Source organism: Homo sapiens, chromosome 11 (genome assembly GCF_000001405.40).
Source record: "Homo sapiens chromosome 11, GRCh38.p14 Primary Assembly".
In the NCBI taxonomy this organism is placed as follows: Eukaryota; Metazoa; Chordata; class Mammalia; order Primates; family Hominidae; genus Homo; species Homo sapiens.
In genome coordinates, this window is record NC_000011.10 from 70,184,498 (window position 1) to 70,202,679 (window position 18,182).

General features: G+C 50.3%; 1 protein-coding gene across 20 annotated transcripts in view, besides 3 other annotated features; it reads left to right on the forward strand.

Moving 5' to 3' along the window:
* ANO1 (anoctamin 1) overlaps positions 1 to 5,033 on the forward strand; it is a 223,534-nt gene extending 218,501 nt beyond the window's left edge. For 19 of the 20 annotated variants that reach the window (XM_047427185.1, NM_001378092.1, XM_047427181.1 and 16 more), the window contains 2 exons: positions 1,093 to 1,198; positions 3,241 to 5,033. In XM_047427185.1, the coding sequence (XP_047283141.1) occupies positions 1,093 to 1,198; positions 3,241 to 3,507 (373 nt within the window). In that variant the 3' untranslated portion in view covers positions 3,508 to 5,033. The remainder of the gene's footprint in view (positions 1 to 1,092; positions 1,199 to 3,240) is intronic. The other variant, NR_030691.2, reaches the window with a different exon arrangement.
* Positions 7,416 to 7,475: an enhancer, noted in NCBI's record as "active region_5161". NCBI's record gives its function as "activates an Ori minimal core promoter by ATAC-STARR-seq in GM12878 lymphoblastoid cells {active_cell/tissue: GM12878}" and the evidence as "EXISTENCE:reporter gene assay evidence [ECO:0000049][PMID:35858748]".
* Positions 11,606 to 11,900: a silencer, noted in NCBI's record as "tiled region #13422; HepG2 Repressive DNase unmatched - State 12:CtcfO, and K562 Repressive DNase matched - State 12:CtcfO". NCBI's record gives its function as "represses a minimal TATA promoter and a strong SV40 promoter by Sharpr-MPRA in HepG2 and K562 cells {active_cell/tissue: HepG2 | K562}" and the evidence as "EXISTENCE:reporter gene assay evidence [ECO:0000049][PMID:27701403]".
* Positions 12,234 to 12,733: an enhancer, noted in NCBI's record as "H3K27ac hESC enhancer chr11:70042837-70043336 (GRCh37/hg19 assembly coordinates)". NCBI's record gives its function as "activates a minimal SCP1, AML or CMV promoter by ChIP-STARR-seq in primed H9 embryonic stem cells {active_cell/tissue: H9 hESC(primed)}" and the evidence as "EXISTENCE:reporter gene assay evidence [ECO:0000049][PMID:30033119]".

Sequence of the window (18,182 nt, forward strand, 5' to 3'; positions counted from 1 at the left end):
TCTAAAGCTGGTAATGAGAACCAGGGGCAGTTCCTTCAAGATAAGGAGGTGAGGACCAAGCAGCAACCCTGGAGGAGGAAAAGCAGCCCCAGACCCGGGTAGGGCAGGGCGGGCCAGGCCGGCTGCCTGACACGCCTCTGCCTGCACCAGCGGAATGCTTAGCTTCGTTCTTTCGCAAATGTTTGATAAACTGCTTAAGTTACTTTGATAAAATGTTCAGGGTATTGTTTTGCTGTGTTTTTTGGTTGTTGTTTGGTTTGCTTTTTTTAGAGACGGTCTCACTTTGTGGCCCAGGCTGAAGAGCAGTGGCGTGATCAAAGCTCACTGCAACCTCAACCTCCCGGGCTCAGGTGATCCTCCCACCTCAGCCTCCCGAGTAGCTGGGAATACAGGCGTGCACTGCCAGGCCCGGCTAATTTTTGTATTTTTTGCAGAGACAGGGTTTTACTGTGTGGCCCAGACTGATCTCTAACTCCTCAGCCTGAGATTACAGTGCTGAGGTTACAGGCACGAGCCACCACACCTGGCTAATAAAGTGCTCAGAGGTTTTTCTTTGGTAGATTCCCTCAAAGAGGGGATGGACTGGAGGGGTGTTTCATGGAACCCATTCTGAAGTTCTGTGGAGCATGGGCGTTGGGTTGAGGTTCAGGAGGTTCAAGCTTAGGGAACCCCCCCGACTTCAACCAAGTAGGCTCTGCACTCTTGGGGCCTATTGGAGTTTCCAGTGAGACCTTTTGGGAACAAAGGCTCCACTGCTTTTAAAAGTTTGCAACCTCCTGGACCACATGGTCCCCACCCTTGATTCTGTGAGCCCACGGCTGGGCCTGGGGATACTTCCTGCCACATGTGTTTTACATGAAGCCCGTCAGGTCCTGCCTGGCCCATGGGGGATCCTGACCAACCCCCTCCACTGTGGAGAGAGACTCCGTGGGTGCGGGGCCATGGGCTGCTCGCCCAAGAGAGGGCTGCCCTCCCGGAGGCAGCCGCACACCAAGCTGAGCCTCTCCCAGGCGTCCCTCGAGCTGCCTGACTCCAGCCAGAGCCTGAGCCCCACCGAAGTCCCACCCTCGACTCCACCACGGTCTTTTGCAGGTATAAAGACTACCGAGAGCCGCCGTGGTCGGAAAACAAGTACGACATCTCCAAGGACTTCTGGGCCGTCCTGGCAGCCCGGCTGGCGTTTGTCATCGTCTTCCAGGTGCGGTGGGTCCCTCTTTGTTTCCGGTTTGAAGATGGGAGCATTTAGGGACCATCCTGTGCCTACAGTCTGGAAGTCAGGAGCTGCTAAAGCCAGGGGTTCAGAGACTCCTCCAGAGGCTTGGAGAACTTGCTCTGGGACACCCGAGGAGGGGACTTGGCCGACCCCAGGCCCCCTGCACTGACAGGGCCCAAGACAACCTCATGAGAGAGGAAGGCCAATAGAGGGGCCGGATGAGCACCGGCAGAAGGGTTCTGACTCGCTGGTGGGTTTAATCCAGTAGAAGTGTCTTTATTGAAAGAGACAGGGGCCAGGCACAGTGGCTCACACCTGTAATCCCAGCACTTTGGGAGACCGAGGCAGGTGGATCACCTGAGGTCAGGAGTTCAAGACCAGCCTGGCCAACATGGTGAAACCCTGTCTCTACTAAAAATATCAAAAATTAGCCGGGTGTGGTGGTGCACACCTGTAATCCCAGCTACTCAGGAGGCTGAGGCAAGAGAATCACTTGAACCCAGGAGGCAGAGGTTGCAGTGAGCCGAGATCGTGCCACTACACTCCAGCTTGAGCAACAAGAGTGAAACTCCATCTCAAAAAAGAGAGAGAGAGAAAAGAAGGAGAAGGAGAGGAGGAGGAGGAGGACGAGGAGGGGGAGGGAGGAAGGAAGGAAGGAAGGAAGGAAGGAAGGAAGGAAGGAAGGAAGAAAGACATGGAGAAAGGGGACCCCACCTCTGTCCCTCTCATTCTCACACCATGTCTGTGGTAGCAGGCAGAGTCAGGACAGACAGGAGGGCAGTGGGCTGTCAGATGACCCCAGCTGCAGCCAGCAGCCAGGGGACCCAGCCCCAGCTGGCCCAGTCTCTAGGGAGGGGTCTGGGCCAACTCTCTGAGGCCAGAGGGACTCCCAGTGGAGCGGGACCCCAGGCTAGGGTGCCAGCTGTGCACCGGCAGCTGAGGTCCCAGAGAGGCAGTATCCTGGGCTGTGGGCACCGCCAAGATTCTGCTCGCAGGTGTCCCTCTAGTCTCGATTAAGTCGATGCTAGGAAGGCAGTGGGCCAAGGGCTCTGATTCTGGAATCCCCAAGACTGGGTTCAAGTCCCAGTTCTGTCACAGGGCAGGCCCTTCCACTCCTCTAAGCTCAGTGGCCCCATCCATCAGCTTTTCACAGCAAGCAGTGCAAAAGGTGTGTGGGGCTGGGTTCCGCAGACCAGAGCCTGAGAGCCCAGCAAGGAGGGGTCTCGGCCAGAGACAGCCCAGCCTTATCCCAAGGGAGCCCCGGAGCAGGCATGGCACCCCAGACCTGGCCTCACCTGGAGGCAAGGCAGCCCCTAGATGGACCAGTCACTGCTTTGGGCTGACCAGGCTGGGAAGAGGGAGATGGGATGGGGCATAAGTTCTGCAGCTGCGAGCGTGAGCAGCCAACCCCAGCCCCAGCTGGGGACTGGGAGCACCAACCAGGAGAAGACACCAATCCAGGGGGCACCAGCACCGCCCGTGGCGGGAACCTGCTCAGCCGGGGGTGCTCACACGTGCTTGCTGGACAGATGTTCAGCAAACAAGAAGATTCCGTTTTTCCATAAAAACTGACTTATGTTGCCTTCTATCCACCAGAAATGTCTCCGTGGAGGTGGTAGATGTTCAGGGAGACCCTGGGACGCTTTGCAAACTGTAAAAGTTTGATCCATTTGTGGCTATTTCCAGTTTCATGTTTTTCCCCAAAGGCTCGATGCTCGTTAGATTTGGCGATGTGTGATCCATCAGGTCACTTCCTGAGTCTCCTGATCAAAGAATTCAGAATGACTCAGATGATTTTCCCAATTACTGAGTTCAGATTTGTTCGAGAAAGTCGGCCAACATTTCCCAGAGGCCTGCCGGGTGGTTCTATGCCTCCTTTATAGCTTCTGGAAAACTGAGGCCCAGGGAGGTCAATGGGCCAGGAGGTGGTGGGGTGGCACTCCACCAGATGGGGGCCAGGCAGAGAGGTCAGGAGCACTTCCCCAGGCGCCATCCTCCCTTCTGCCACGCGTTGCCTCTCCTTCCAGAACCTGGTCATGTTCATGAGCGACTTTGTGGACTGGGTCATCCCGGACATCCCCAAGGACATCAGCCAGCAGATCCACAAGGAGAAGGTGCTCATGGTGGAGCTGTTCATGCGGGAGGAGCAAGACAAGCAGCAGCTGCTGGAAACCTGGATGGAGAAGGAGCGGCAGAAGGACGAGCCGCCGTGCAACCACCACAACACCAAAGCCTGCCCAGACAGCCTCGGCAGCCCAGCCCCCAGCCATGCCTACCACGGGGGCGTCCTGTAGCTATGCCAGCGGGGCTGGGCAGGCCAGCCGGGCATCCTGACCGATGGGCACCCTCTCCCAGGGCAGGCGGCTTCCCGCTCCCACCAGGGCCCGGTGGGTCCTGGGTTTTCTGCAAACATGGAGGACCACTTTCTGATAGGACATTTTCCTTTCTTCTTTCTGTTTTCTTTCCCTTGTTTTTGCACAAAGCCATTATGCAGGGAATATTTTTTAATCTGTAGTATTCAAGATGAATCAAAATGATGGCTGGTAATACGGCAATAAGGTAGCAAAGGCAGGTGCTTTGCAGAAAGAATGCTTGGAAACTTGAGTCTCCCTAGAGGTGAAAAGTGAGCAGAGGCCCGTAGAAACCCTCCTCTGAATCCTCCTAATTCCTTAAGATAGATGCAAAATGGTAAGCCGAGGCATCGCGCAAAAGCTGGTGCGATGCTTCAGGGAAAATGGAAAACCCACGCAAGAATAATGATTGATTCCGGTTCCAAAAGGTGTCACCTACCTGTTTCAGAAAAGTTAGACTTTCCATCGCCTTTTCCTTCCATCAGTTGAGTGGCTGAGAGAGAAGTGCCTCATCCCTGAGCCACACAGGGGGCGTGGGAGCATCCCAGTTATCCCTGGAAAGCTAGAAGGGGACAGAGGTGTCCCTGATTAAGCAGGAAACAGCACCCTTGGCGTCCCCAGCAGGCTCCCCACTGTCAGCCACACACCTGCCCCCATCACACCAAGCCGACCTCAGAGTTGTTCATCTTCCTTATGGGACAAAACCGGTTGACCAGAAAATGGGCAGAGAGAGATGACCTCGGAAGCATTTCCACAGATGGTGTCAGGGTTTCAAGAAGTCTTAGGGCTTCCAGGGGTCCCCTGGAAGCTTTAGAATATTTATGGGTTTTTTTTCAAATATCAATTATATGGTAGATTGAGGATTTTTTTTCTGTAGCTCAAAGGTGGAGGGAGTTTATTAGTTAACCAAATATCGTTGAGAGGAATTTAAAATACTGTTACTACCAAAGATTTTTATTAATAAAGGCTTATATTTTGGTAACACTTCTCTATATTTTTACTCACAGGAATGTCACTGTTGGACAATTATTTTAAAAGTGTATAAAACCAAGTCTCATAAATGATATGAGTGATCTAAATTTGCAGCAATGATACTAAACAACTCTCTGAAATTTCTCAAGCACCAAGAGAAACATCATTTTAGCAAAGGCCAGGAGGAAAAATAGAAATAAATTTGTCTTGAAGATCTCATTGATGTGATGTTACATTCCCTTTAATCTGCCAACTGTGGTCAAAGTTCATAGGTGTCGTACATTTCCATTATTTGCTAAAATCATGCAATCTGATGCTTCTCTTTTCTCTTGTACAGTAAGTAGTTTGAAGTGGGTTTTGTATATAAATACTGTATTAAAAATTAGGCAATTACCAAAAATCCTTTTATGGAAACCATTTTTTTAAAAAGTGAATGTACACAAATCCACAGAGGACTGTGGCTGGACATTCATCTAAATAAATTTGAATATACGACACTTTTCTCACTTGAATGCTGTCTGCCTGACGTCTGCCTGGGAAACTCACAGGCCGTCCCCAGAGTCCAGTGACCCTGCAAACTCAGCACTGACGGACAGGCATCTCTTTCCTTTGGTGCCGGCCTGCGCATGGCTCTAAATGTTCTTGGGACTTCATCTTTCTGTACGTGTGTGCATTTGTGCATGCACATGTGTGTGCCTATTCATTTGCATGTGTTTTGCATGCATCATGTGCACGCATGTTCGCATTTGCTTGTGTGCATGTGCCTGTGTCTTTACATGTTTGTGTACATCACGTGTGTATGTATGCATTTGTATTTGCTTGTATTTGCATATGGGTGCAGGTGTGTGTGCATGTGGACACGTGTGCATATATGCATGTGTGTGTATATGTCTATGTGTGCATGCACGTGTGTATACAGTGCGTGTGTGTACTTGTGAATGCCTGTGTTTATGTGTTTGCATGGTTTATGTATGTATTATCCGTTCTCACACTGCTATAAAGAACTACCTGAGCCCAGGTGTGGTGGCTCACACCTGTAATCCCAGCACTTTGGGAGGACAAGGCGGGTGGATTGCTGGAGGTGAGGAGTTCAAGACCAGCCTGGCCAACATGGCAAAATCCCATCTCTCCAAAAAAAAAAGTTACATAAAAATTAGTCGAGCATGGTGGCGCACACCTGTCATCTCAGCTACTGGGGAGGCTGAGGCAGGAGAATCACTTGAACCTGGGAAGCAAAGGCTGCAGTGAACCGAGATCATGCCATAGCACACCAATCTGGGTGACAGAGTTAGACCCCATCTCAAAAAATATATAAATAAATAGAACTACCTGAGACTGGATAATTTACGAAGAAAAGAGGTTTAATTGACTCACACTTTTGCATGCTTAACAGGAGGCATGACTGAGAGGTCTCAGGAAACTTAACGATCGTAGCAGAAAGCAAAGGGGAAGCAAGCACGTCTTCACAATGGTGGAGCAGGAGAGAGCGAGCAAAGGGGACAAGTGCCACATTTTCAAACCATCAGATGTTGTGAGAACTCACCCACTATCACAAGAACAGCATGGCGGAAATGCGCCTCATGATTCAACCACCTCCCACCAGGTCCCGCCCTCGACACGTGGGGATTACAATTTAACATGAGATTCAGGTGGGGACAGAGCCAAACCATGTCAGTGTGCATCACCCCAGGGTTCACACACGTGTTTGCCTTTGCCTGTGTTTGTATATGCATATGTGCTGTGTGTGTGCATATGTGCCGGTGTGTGTGCATATGTGCTGGTGTGTGTGCATATGTGCTGTGTGTGCATATGTGCTGTGTGTGTGTGCATATGTGCTGGTGTGTGTGCATATATGCTGTGTGTGCGCATATGTGCTGGTGTGTGTGTGCATGTGTGCTGTGTGTATGCATATGTGCTGTGTGTGCATGTGTGCTGGCGTGTGTGTGTGCATGTGTGCTGGTGTGTGTGTGCATATGTGCTGGTGTGTGTGTGCATGTGTGCTGGTGTGTGTGTATATGTGCTGATATGTGTGCATATATGCTAGTGTGTGTGCATATGTGCTGGTGTGTGTGTGTGCATGTGTGCTGGTGTCTGCATATATGCTAGTGTGTGTATGCATGTGTGCTTGTGTGTGTGCATATGTGCTGGTGTGTGTGTGCATATGTGCTGGTGTGTGTGCATATATGCTAGTGTGTGTGTGCATGTGTGCTGGTGTGTGTGCATATGTACTGGTGTCTGAGTGTGCTTGTGTGTATGCACAGATGTACCACATATTCCTCTGTGTTTGTGTGTGTGTGTGTGTGTGTGTGTGTGTGTATGTTGGGATGGGGGATTGTGGTCACACTTTCTAGCAGGCTCTTCCAAGAATCCCATATCTCGACCTCTGATCCCACAACCCAACAGACTAGTATTTAGGGTTTCATGGACCCCAAATTTCTTCAAAACGTTTTGGGACTGACCTTGGGTTGTCAATGTTTTCATTTGGGCAAGTGGGGACATTTTTTTAGAACCGTCACCTATAATCACTATCACTTCATAAAAGAACGTATATTTTTAACAGCGTCAGCAAAGCAGTATGGCGCTTCGGGCTGGGGACAGTGTCCTTGTGCGGCCCTCGGCGTCGGCCACCTTCCCTTCACCGCCAGGACAAGGCAGGGCCTCTTTCGACCTGTGGCAGGCCTCGGGCGCCCCCTTGTGCTGGCTCTCCTCAGCACAGCGCCTTGCCACCTTGGTCAGGCGCATCCTCCTAAAGCTTGGGCCCCACATTCTCGATCCTGTAGGGAGGGCCCAAGGAGAACGGCACCCACTTTCTCAATCCTGTAGGGAGGGCTCAGGGAGAACGGCACCCAGGATTGGCATCGCGGGAACCCCTTCCCTCTGCCCTCCTGTCTCCATGGGTCCTCCCAGAGCCTGGGAGGGCACAGGTGGGGACCTTCAGCCACATCTGATAGATGAGGAAACAGGCTCTTGACCAAGATCTCAGGGCGCTTTAATGCCAAGTCTGAAGGCCAGACCTCATAAACATGTATGGAACATTCAAGAAACATTTATTGAACTCCTACTGTAGGCCAAGTGCAGCGGCTCATGCTGGTAATCCCACATGAGGGATTACTGCATTGAGAGGCCCAGACAGAAGGATTGCTTGAGCCCAGGAGTTCGAGACCAGCCTGGGCAACATAGCAAGACCCTGTCTCTACAAGAAATAAAAAAATTAGCTGGGCATGGTGGCGGGCACCTGTGGCCCCAGCTACTCGAGAGAGTGAGGTAGGAGAATCACTTGAGCCCAGGAGGTCAAGGCTGCAGTGAGCTATGATTGCATCACTGCACTGCAGCCTGGGCAACAGAGCAAAACCCTGTCTCAAAAAATAAATAAAAATTAGACCAGGTGCAGTGGCTCACGTCTGTAATTCTAGCACTTTGGGAGGCCGAGGTGGATGACTTGAGGCCAGGAGTTCAAGACCAGCCTGGCCAACAGAGTGAAACCCAGTCTCTAAGTAAAAAAAAAATATATATATATATATATATATATATATATATATATATACACACACACACCAAAAAAAAATGAACTCCCACTGTGTGTCAGGCACTAGGACGAGAAGGGTGAAGAACAAGGACACAGCCCCTTCCCTCCCACATGACATTCTCACAAAGGAAGTCCAATGCTGAACCAGAAAATCAACCGTGGAACCAGACAACTTCAGAAAAGGGAGCGCTGATGAAAATCCAGCAGGGAGTGTGACTGACTGAGGGTGAGTGACTACACTGCGCAGGGAGGCCCCTTGGGACTTGAGCAACAAGGAGCCAGAAACACACAACAGTCGGTGCACAGGCCAAGGCAGCAGCTGCTGGACGAGCTCCAGGAGCAGAGGGGCAGGGAGGTGACAGGAGACGCAGGAGAGGTGGCTAGAGACGACTCATGCAGGGCTCCGGCTGAGTGAAGACTTTGAACTTGGTGGTAGGTGCCATGGGCAGGGCTGGGCAGTGTCTATGAGGGCAGTGATGGGATCTGACTTATGTTTGGGGTCATGGCTGCTGTAGGGTGGAAACTGCAGCCAGTGCCGCTATTATACAGATGGGCACAGGAGGCTCAGAGAGGCTCAGGGCTCCACTGCAGCCATCCACAAGCTGGCAGCACATCACCCCTTGGACCCAGGAGCCTGGCACAAAAAGTCTTCTACTACTGGTCCCTAGAGTAGTGTGGCTGGGGGCAGGGTTGGGGGCGAGCCCAGCGGGCCCTGAGGTCTGAGGGCACCGGCTGCACCACCAGGCCTGGCAATGACACACTGGTGGCCGGCCATGCAGGTTCCGCTGCTCTCCTCTGAGGGTGGAGGTGGACCATGAATAGCATCAAGCCCAAGACAACCTCTGTTCGGTAGGTTCAGCACATGTTAACTTTTGAAGTTAATTTAATATATGAAAACCAGGCATTTAAAGTCCACGTTTGCATGTTCTGCTGAGAAATCACACCTTCTGCTGCACAGCCCCACGTTCGCCAGGTCTCATGCTCACATTCGACTGCAGCCCGGTGGGGCCTGCCCTTCCTGAGTCTCCTCACCCTCCCAAACATGCCTGCCCACTGGCTATGGGGGCAGCTGAGGCTGGGGCCTCCCTAGACAAGCCTCAGACCAAGGTCCCTGTCTGTGGATCTGGAACCAGCAGTGGGATTGAGAGCTTGGCCAAAGTGTGTGCTTGAAGCAGGGCTGTCTCCACCCCAAGGCTGGACTCAGAGCCCTGCCCAAAGCACTCACATCACCAAATCCTACACACTCATCTTCAGGCCCCCAGGAGTCATTTGTGTGCCCCTGACCCCAGGTGATATGTGTCCTCACATGTCAGGCAACATTTACCTGCCCATGTTTTGTAAGAGCCACAGCAAAGAACATAAATGCTAACACTTACCAGAAAACAGGCCAGAAGGAAGTACTGGCACAGTGCCAGGCACAGAGGAGGCACCAGAAAGTGCTGAATTAATGAATAAGCAAGCAAGGATTAGATGGATAGATGGATGGGGGATAGACGGATGAACGTTTGGGTGGTGGACAGATGGATGGATGGATGGAAGCATGGATGGATGGATAGATTGATGGATGGATGTGTGGGTGGATGGATGGATGGATGGATGGATGGATGGTGGATGGGTGGATGGATAAATGTGTGGATGGATGGATGGATATGTGGATGGATGGATGGTGGATGAATGGATGGATGGATGGATGGATGGATGGATGGATGGATTGGGTGAATGAATGGATGTGTGGATGGATGGATGGATTGGGTGAATGAATGGATGTGTGGATGGATGGATGGATGGATGGATGGATGGATGGATGGATGGATGGATTGGGTGAATGAATGGATGTGTGGATGGATGGATGGATTGGGTGAATGAATGGATGTGTGGATGGATGGATGGATGGATGGTGGATGAATGGATGGATGGTAGATGAATGGATGGATGGATGGATGAATGGATGGATGGATGGATGAGTGGATGGATGGATGGATGGATGGATTGGGTGAATGAATGGATGTGTGGATGGATGGATGGATTGGGTGAATGAATGGATGTGTGGATGGATGGATGGATGGATGGATGGATGGATGGATGGTGGATGGTTGGATGGATGTGTGGATGGATTGGGTGGATGGATGTGTAAGTGGATGGATGGATTGGGTGGACGGATGGATGGACTGGGTGAATGGATGGATGGATGGTGGATGAGTGAATGTGTGGGTGAATGGATGCATTGATTGAATGGATGTGTGAATGGATGAAGGGATCGAGTGGATGGATGTGTGAATGGATGGATGGATGGTGGATGAGTGAGTGGATGTGTGGGTGAATGGATGCATTGATTGGGTGGATGGATGGATGGATGTGTGGATGGATGGTAGATGGGTGGGTAGATGGTAGATGGATGGTGGATGGATAGATGAATGGATAGAAGGATGGATGGATGTGTGGATGGATGGATAGATGGATGGATGGATGCTGGATGAATGGATGGATGGATGGTGGATGGGTGGATGGATGTGTGGACGGATGAATGGGTGAAAGGATGGATGTATGGATGGATGTGTGGATGGATGGATAGATGTGTGGATGGATGGGTGGAAGGATGAATGGATGGGTAGATGGGTGAGTAGATGGATGGATGGATAGGTGGATGGACGGATGGATAGATAGATAGGTGGATGGATGGATGGATGGGTGGGTGGATGGATGGATGGATGGGTGGATGGATGGATGGATAGATGCATGTATGGGTGGATGGATGGAAAATAGACTGACAATTGGGTCTTTTTGCCTTTGAGATGAATGGGCCTCAGGATCAAGTTAGCAGGAGTGTTGGTGGAGGAGGTAAGGGGGTAGTGGAAGGTAAATCTGATGCCTTCTGACCTGAAGACATGCTCACAGCAAGCAGTTCACCCCCACTCACTCACACAGCCTTGGCAGAAGAGCAAAAGGCAAAGAGACAGCTTATGCCTGGAGACATGGGACCAGCCCAGGCATTTTCATCTGGCTTCCTCAGATGGGATGGTGTCTGCTGCCCCTGCCAGAGCCTGCCCAGAATGCAGCCATGGGGCAAAGGCTCAGCAAACACCTCATTTCCTCAGCCCTGCCAAGTCATGTATTTACTATTGTCCATTTCCCTTCCCTTCTCCCCCTCTTCCTCACACAATTTTCATTAAAGTAAAACATAGAGAAAATTGCACAAAAGTGTACAGTCAAGCAACTTCCACAAAAAAATACACACTTTTGGGGCTGGGCACAGTGGCTCACGCCTGTAACCCCAGCACTTTGGGAGGCTGAGGTGAGAGGAGTGCAGTGGTGCAACCTTGAGTTCAAGAGTTTGAGACCAACCTGGGCAACATGGCAAGACCCTGTCTCTACAAAAAATAAATTTTTTTTAAAAAAAAGCTAAAAATTAGTCAGGTGTTGTGGCATGCACCTGTAGTCCCAGCTACTTGGGAGGCTGAGGTGGGAGGATGGCTTGAGCCTGAGAGATCAAGGCTGCAGTGAGCCGTGATTATGTCACTGTACCCCAACCTGGGCAACAGAGAATTTGTCTCCAAAAACAAAAACAAAATCCCACTTCTGTAGCCAGGACTCAGACACTGAATGAGCACGTCCTAAATATTCCCTCAAACTCCCTTCTCACAGTGGCTGTAGCCACTACCCGGACCTGGTTCCAACCTCGGCAGCAGAAATTCTTTCTCCTGCTTTTGCTTGTTGGTGGCTGCTGCCCTCTTCTGGCTGCCTGCAGGAGCTGCACTCAGGGAAGGGAAAGGCCCCGCACCTGGCACCTACCTTAGTGTTGTTGTGTAGTGTTGTGTTGTGTTGTGTTGTGTTGTGTTGTGTTGTGTTGTGTTGTGTTGTGTTGTGTTGCGTTGTGTTTTTTTGAGATGGAGTCTCGCTCTGTTGCCCAGGCTGGAGTGCAGTGGTGCGATCTTGGCTCACTGCAACCTCCGCCTCCCTGGTTCAAGTGATTCTCCTGCCTCAGCCTCCCGAGTAGCTGGGACTACAGGCACCCGCCACCATGCCTGGCTAATTTTTGCATTTTTAGTAGAGACAGGGTTTCACCATATTGGCCCAGCTGGCCTGGAACTTCTGACCCTGTGATCCGCCCGCCTCGGCCTCCCAAAGTGCCGGGATTACAGGCGTGAGCCACTGCACCCGGCCTTAGTTTTCTATTAGGTTGGTGCAAAACCACGATTAGTTTGCACCAACCTAAAATATTTGCTGTGGTGGCAAATGACCACCAACTCTGCGGCCCAAAACAACACGAATTTATTCTGTTACTACAGGTCAGGTTTCTGGCACAGGCCTCACTAGGCTAAAATCGACGTGCCTGCACAGCTGGCTCCCTCTGGAAGCTCCGGGGGAGGTCCGTGCCTTCTCCAGCATCCAGAGGCCCTTGTCTTCCCGTCTGTGACCCCTTCCTGGCCACGTCTTCGTGCTGCCTCTTCTCTGGTTCTTCTTTTATGAGGCCTCATGATTAGACTGGGTCTGCAGGGTTAAACCAAGAAAACCAAGACGATCTCCCCATCTCAAAGTTCTTAATCTTCATGGCTTTTTTTTTTTTTTTTTGAGACGGGGTTTCACTCTTGTCACCTAGGCTGGAGTGCAATGGCACAGTCTCGGCTCACTGCAACCTCTACCTCTCAGGTTCAAGGGATTCTCCTGCCTCAGCCTCCCAAGTAGCTGGGATTTTTGTATTTTAGTAGAGATGGGGTTTCATCACATTGGCCAGGCTGATCTTGAACTCCTGACCTCAGGTGATCCGCCCACCTCGGCCTCCCAAATTGCTGAGATTACAGGTGTGAGCCACTGTGCCCGGCCTCTTCATGGCATCTTAAAGTCTCTTTTGCCATGCTGACGAACATAGCTGCAGGTCTGCGCATCAGGGTGAGGGCCGGCAGGGATGTGGACATTTGGGGTATTCTGCCTACCACAGAGCCCTGCCCCTCAGGAAGCAGTCTCTTTTTTTGGAAAAAACACTACCCCCAAGGAGAGCCAAGGATGCCCACATATTTAGAATAGCCTTGGACATTAATGACATTATTCTAAATATGCCCACATATTTAGAATAGCCTTGGACATTAATGACAAAGACCAAAATGGGCCAGGTGCAGTGGCTCACGCCTGTAATCCCAACACTTTGGGAGGCTGAGGCGGGTGGATCACGAGGTCAGGAGATCAAGACCATTCTGGCTAACAAGGTGAAACCCCATCTCTACTAAAAAATACAAAAAAAACAAAAAATAGCCGGGCGTGATGGCAGGCTCCTGTAGTCCCTGCTACTCGGGAGGCTGAGGCAGGAGAATGGTGTGAACCGGGGAGGCGGAGCCTGCAGTGAGCTGAGTTCGCACCTCTGCACTCCAGCCTGGGTGACAGAGCGAGACTCCGTCTCAAAAAAAAATAAAATAAAATAAAAAAAGGCCAGGCGTGGTGGCTCACGCCTGTAATCCCAGCATTTGGGAGGCCAAGGCGGGCGGATCACCTGAGGTCAGGAGTTAGAGACCAGCCCAGCCAACATGGTGAAACCCCATCTATACTAAAAATACAAAAATTAGCTGGGCATGGTGGCACACACCTGTAGTCCCAGCTACTCAGGAGGCTGAGGCAGGAGAATTGCTTGAACCCGGGAGACAGAGGTTGCAGTGAACCGAGATCACGCCACTGCACTTCAGCCTGGGCAACAGAGCGAGACTCCATCTCAAAAAAAATAAAAAAGAAAAAAAATATATATATATATATAAAATAATAAATAAAATAAAATTCATATAGCAAGACAGAGGCCCTCGAATAGCTAAAAGAATCTTGACAAAGCAAAATACAATGGGAGAAATTGCTGTAGCCAGTATTAAGGTTTACTATATAGCTACACTAATCAAGAAAAGGTCATATGGTGCTTTTTCAGCCTCCCTCACTGGCTTCCCCACATCTCCCAGCCCCTTAAAGGTGGACACCCCTAGGCTCATCTGTTGGTCATCTTTATTCTTTTTCTTTTTTCTGAGACGTGGTCTCACTCTGTCACCCAGGCTGGAGTGCAGCGGCATGATCACAGCTCACTGCAGCCTCAACCTACTGGGCTCAAGCGATCCTCCCACCTCAGCCTCCCCAGTAGTTGAGACTACAGGCGTGTGGCACCACGCCCAGCTAATTTTTTAAATTTTTTGTAGAGATGAAGTCTTACTGCATTGCCCAGGCTGGTCTCAAACTCCTGAGCTCAAGTGATCCTCCCATCTTGGCATCCCAAAGTGCTGAGATTACAGGGGTGAGCCATTGAGCCCAGTTGGTCATCCAGTCACCTTTTCTATCCCTCTTCATAGGTGACTGCACTCTTTTGGTTTTTTCAACACAATCTATCTGCAGGCAACTCTCAAATTCACCTCTTCTCCCTGTCATCTCATGCCCCTCACTGACCAGTCAACATCTCCACCAAAACATCTAATAGGTATCTGTATTAGCTTTCTGTTGCTTATAGCAGAATACATGAAACTGAATAATTTACAAAGAAAAGAAATTTCTTTCTTTTTTTTTTTTTTTTTTTTTTGAGACAGGTTCTCACTCTGTCACCCAGCCTGGAGTGCAGTGGCTCGATCTCAGCTCACTGCAACCTCTGCCTCCCAGACTCAAATGATCATCCCACCTCAGCCTCCAGAGTATCTGTGACTACAGGTGCATACGCGGCTAATTTTTTTCTGTATTTTTTTGTAGAGATGGGGTTTCACCATGTCGCCTGAGCTGGACTTGAACTCCTTAGCTCAAGCTATCCACCCTCCTTGGCCTCCCAAAGTGCTGGGATTACAGGTGTGAGTCCCTGCACCTGGCCCAGAAATTTCTTTCTTATAGTTATGGAGTCAGAGAAGTCCAAGGTCAAGGGTCCACTTTCGGGGAGGGTCTTCCTGCTGGCGGGGGCTCTCTGTGGAGTCTGCAGAGTTTTGAGGCGATGCAGGGTATCACGTGATGAGGGAGCTTAGTGTGATCCTCCCCCATAATAACTCATCAGTCCATTAACCCATTAATGGAGGAGACAAACATTCAAACCATAGCAGCATCTCACACACACATCCCAAGCCAATCTCGGTCCTCCCTCAAGCCCACCCCACCCGCACCTTCCCGGTTTCCATCAATGGATGGACCAGCCTTCAAAGTTTACAGGGTATCCTGCATTCTCTAGTTTATGCGCATCCCCAATCTAAAGAAGGCTGCCCTCTCTCACCACCTCCACTGCTACCTGCCCTCTGGTCTGAGTGCACTGCCTTTCATTCGGATTATTGTAGTCCCCTGGCTTCTAACCAGCAACCAGCGTGATCTTTAAAAATGTAACTCGAGGTATGAGAATCGCTTGAACCTGGGAGGCGGAGGTTGCAGTGAACTGAGATCTCGCCACTGCGCTCCAGCCTGGGTGACAGAATGAGACTCCATCTCAGAAAAAAAAAAAAAAAAAGAAAAAAAGAAAAAAAGCTGGGCACGCTGGCTCATACCTGTAATCCCAGAACTTTGGGAGATCAAGGCAGGCAGATCACCTGAGGTCAGGAGTTCCAGACCAGCCTGGCCAATATGGTGAAACCGTGTCTCTGCTAAACATACACAATGCAGGAGATTGGTCAAGGTGGTAGGAGAAATTATAAAGATAAAGTTATAGGAAATAGACACAAACTTTCTTGGAAGGCCGGAAGGTTTGCATAGCTTCAGTAAAAGATTTGGCTGAAGGTAGCTGAATTCTCTTAAAAGTTTAGGGCGTAGATACATAGGAATGTAGAGGAGTTTATCTAAATAGCTTGTTCACTCATGTTGTCCTAAAACAGACCTTTGATCATTCACGGGCAGGACTACTCTCTCTGAGGGAGGGCAACCAGATTAATTACCCACAAATGTGTTGACTCAAAGCCTTTGTCATTAAGTCTGTGCTGAATAAATGCCTGCAGGACCAGCTAGTCAGGCCGCGGGGCTGGAACAACTCTTTTTGTGAAAGGTCCAGCCCCCTAGCCAGCTCTTTCACTGAATACTGGTGTCTGAGTACATTATTCATCTGTAGTGCAGCCCAGGTCTGTGGGTCAGACCCTGGCAAGTTAGCCGGATGTGGTGACACATGCCTGTGATCCCAGCTACTCGGGAGGCTGAGGCACGAGAATCTCCTGAACCCAGGAGGCAGAGGTTGCAGTGAGCCAAGATCGTGCCACTGCACTCCAGTCTGGGGCAACACAGTGAGACCCCATCTCAAAAAAAAAATGTAACTCAAGACCAGACACGGTGGTCACACCTGAAATTCCAGCACTTTGAGAGGCTGAGGCTAGTGGATCACTTGAGCCCAGGAGCTCAAGACCAGCCTGGGGAATATGGCAAAATCCTGTTTCTACAAAAAAAAAAAAAAAAAATGAAAATTAGCCAGGGGTGGTGGTATGTACCTGTAATCCCAACTACTCAGGAGGCTGAAATGGGAGGATCGCTTGAGCCCAGGAGGCTGCAGTGAGCTATGACTGTGCCACTGCACTCTAGCCTGGGTGACAAAGCAAGACCCTGTCTCAATAAATAAATAAACAAAATAAAACTGTAACTCAGTGTTCATAGCAGCATTATTCACAACAGCCAAAAAGTGGAAGCAAAGGCAATGTCCATCCTCCGATGAATGGATAGACACACTGTGGCACCCAAACACCCAGACAGTGGAATAGTATGCATCCATAAAAAGGAAGGAGGCTGGGCACAGTGGCTCACGCCTGTAATCCCAACACTTTGGGAGGGTGAGGCAAGAGGATCACTTGAGGCCAGGAGTTTGAGACCAGGCTGGCCAACATGGCAAAGCCCTGTCTCTACTAAAAATACAAAAATTAGCCTGGCATAGTGGCACACACCTACAATCCCAGCTAGTCAGGAGGCTAAGGCACAAGAAACGAGAGTCGCTTGAGCCCGGGAGGCAGAGGCTGCAATGAGCCGAGATTGTGCCACTGCACTCCAGCCTGGACAAAAGAGTGACACTCTGTCTCAAAGAAAAAAAAGGAATGAAGTACTCATATGTTCTACATCATGGATGAACCTTGAAAATGATGCTGAAAACAGCCAGACACAAAATGCCACATACTGTATGGTTCTGTACACATGGAATGTCCAGAATTGGCAAATCCATAGATTTTAAAAAGTAGATTCGGCAGGGCACAGTGGCTCACGCCTGTAATCCCAGCACTTTGGGAGGCTGAGGCTCACTTGAGGTCAGGAGTTCAAGACCAGCCTGGCCAACATGGTGAAACCCTGTCTCTACTAAAATACAAAAATTAGCTAGGCATGGTGGCAGGCACCTGTAATCCCAGCTACTCAGGAGACTGAAGCAGGAGAATTGTTTGAACCCGGGAGGTAAAGGTTGCAGTGAGCCCAGATCGCACCACTGCACTCCAGCCTGGCCATAGAGCGAGACTCTGTCTCAAAACAGCAAAAAAAAAAAAAAAAAGAAAGAAAGAAAAAAAAAGTAGATTCGTGGTTGGTGGGGGAGGGGAGGAGTACATGCTAATGGGTTTCTTCTTGGGGTGATGAAAATGTCCTAAAGTTAGACAGCAGTAAGGGTTGCACAACCTTGTGACTACACTAAAAACCACTGAAGTATAACTTTAAAAGGGTGAATTGAATGGTATGTGAATTATATCTCAAGAAAACAAACTCAGCTGGCATCAGCCCCTGCCCCACCCTGTGGTAAAGCTGGGTCCTTGTTGGCTGGTGAGGGCTCTCCTAATCTGCACCCCCTCCTCACCTCCAGACCCACGGCATTGCTGCTCCTGGAACCCCAGCCGTCCCCTGTGCTCTGCTCTTCTGTTCTCCGTGTGCCCAGCTCTTCCCCCCACACCTAGGTACCCGGCCCCTCCCAGCCTTCACCTGCGCCTTTACAGAGGCCCCATCAGACCACCGGGCCCCCCACCCTCCACACGCCCACCCCGTGAAGAGACTCCCTTTCCCCTGGCTCTTCTGAATTTCTGGCATACTATACGATTTCCTTATTTTTCCTTATTTTTATTTTTTAATAGAGACGGGGTCTCACTATGTTACCCAGGCTGGTCTCGAACCCCTTGTCTCAATCAATCCTGCCTCAGCCTCCCAAAGTGCGGGCATTGCAGGCTGAGCCACCACGGCCGCCACGACCTTC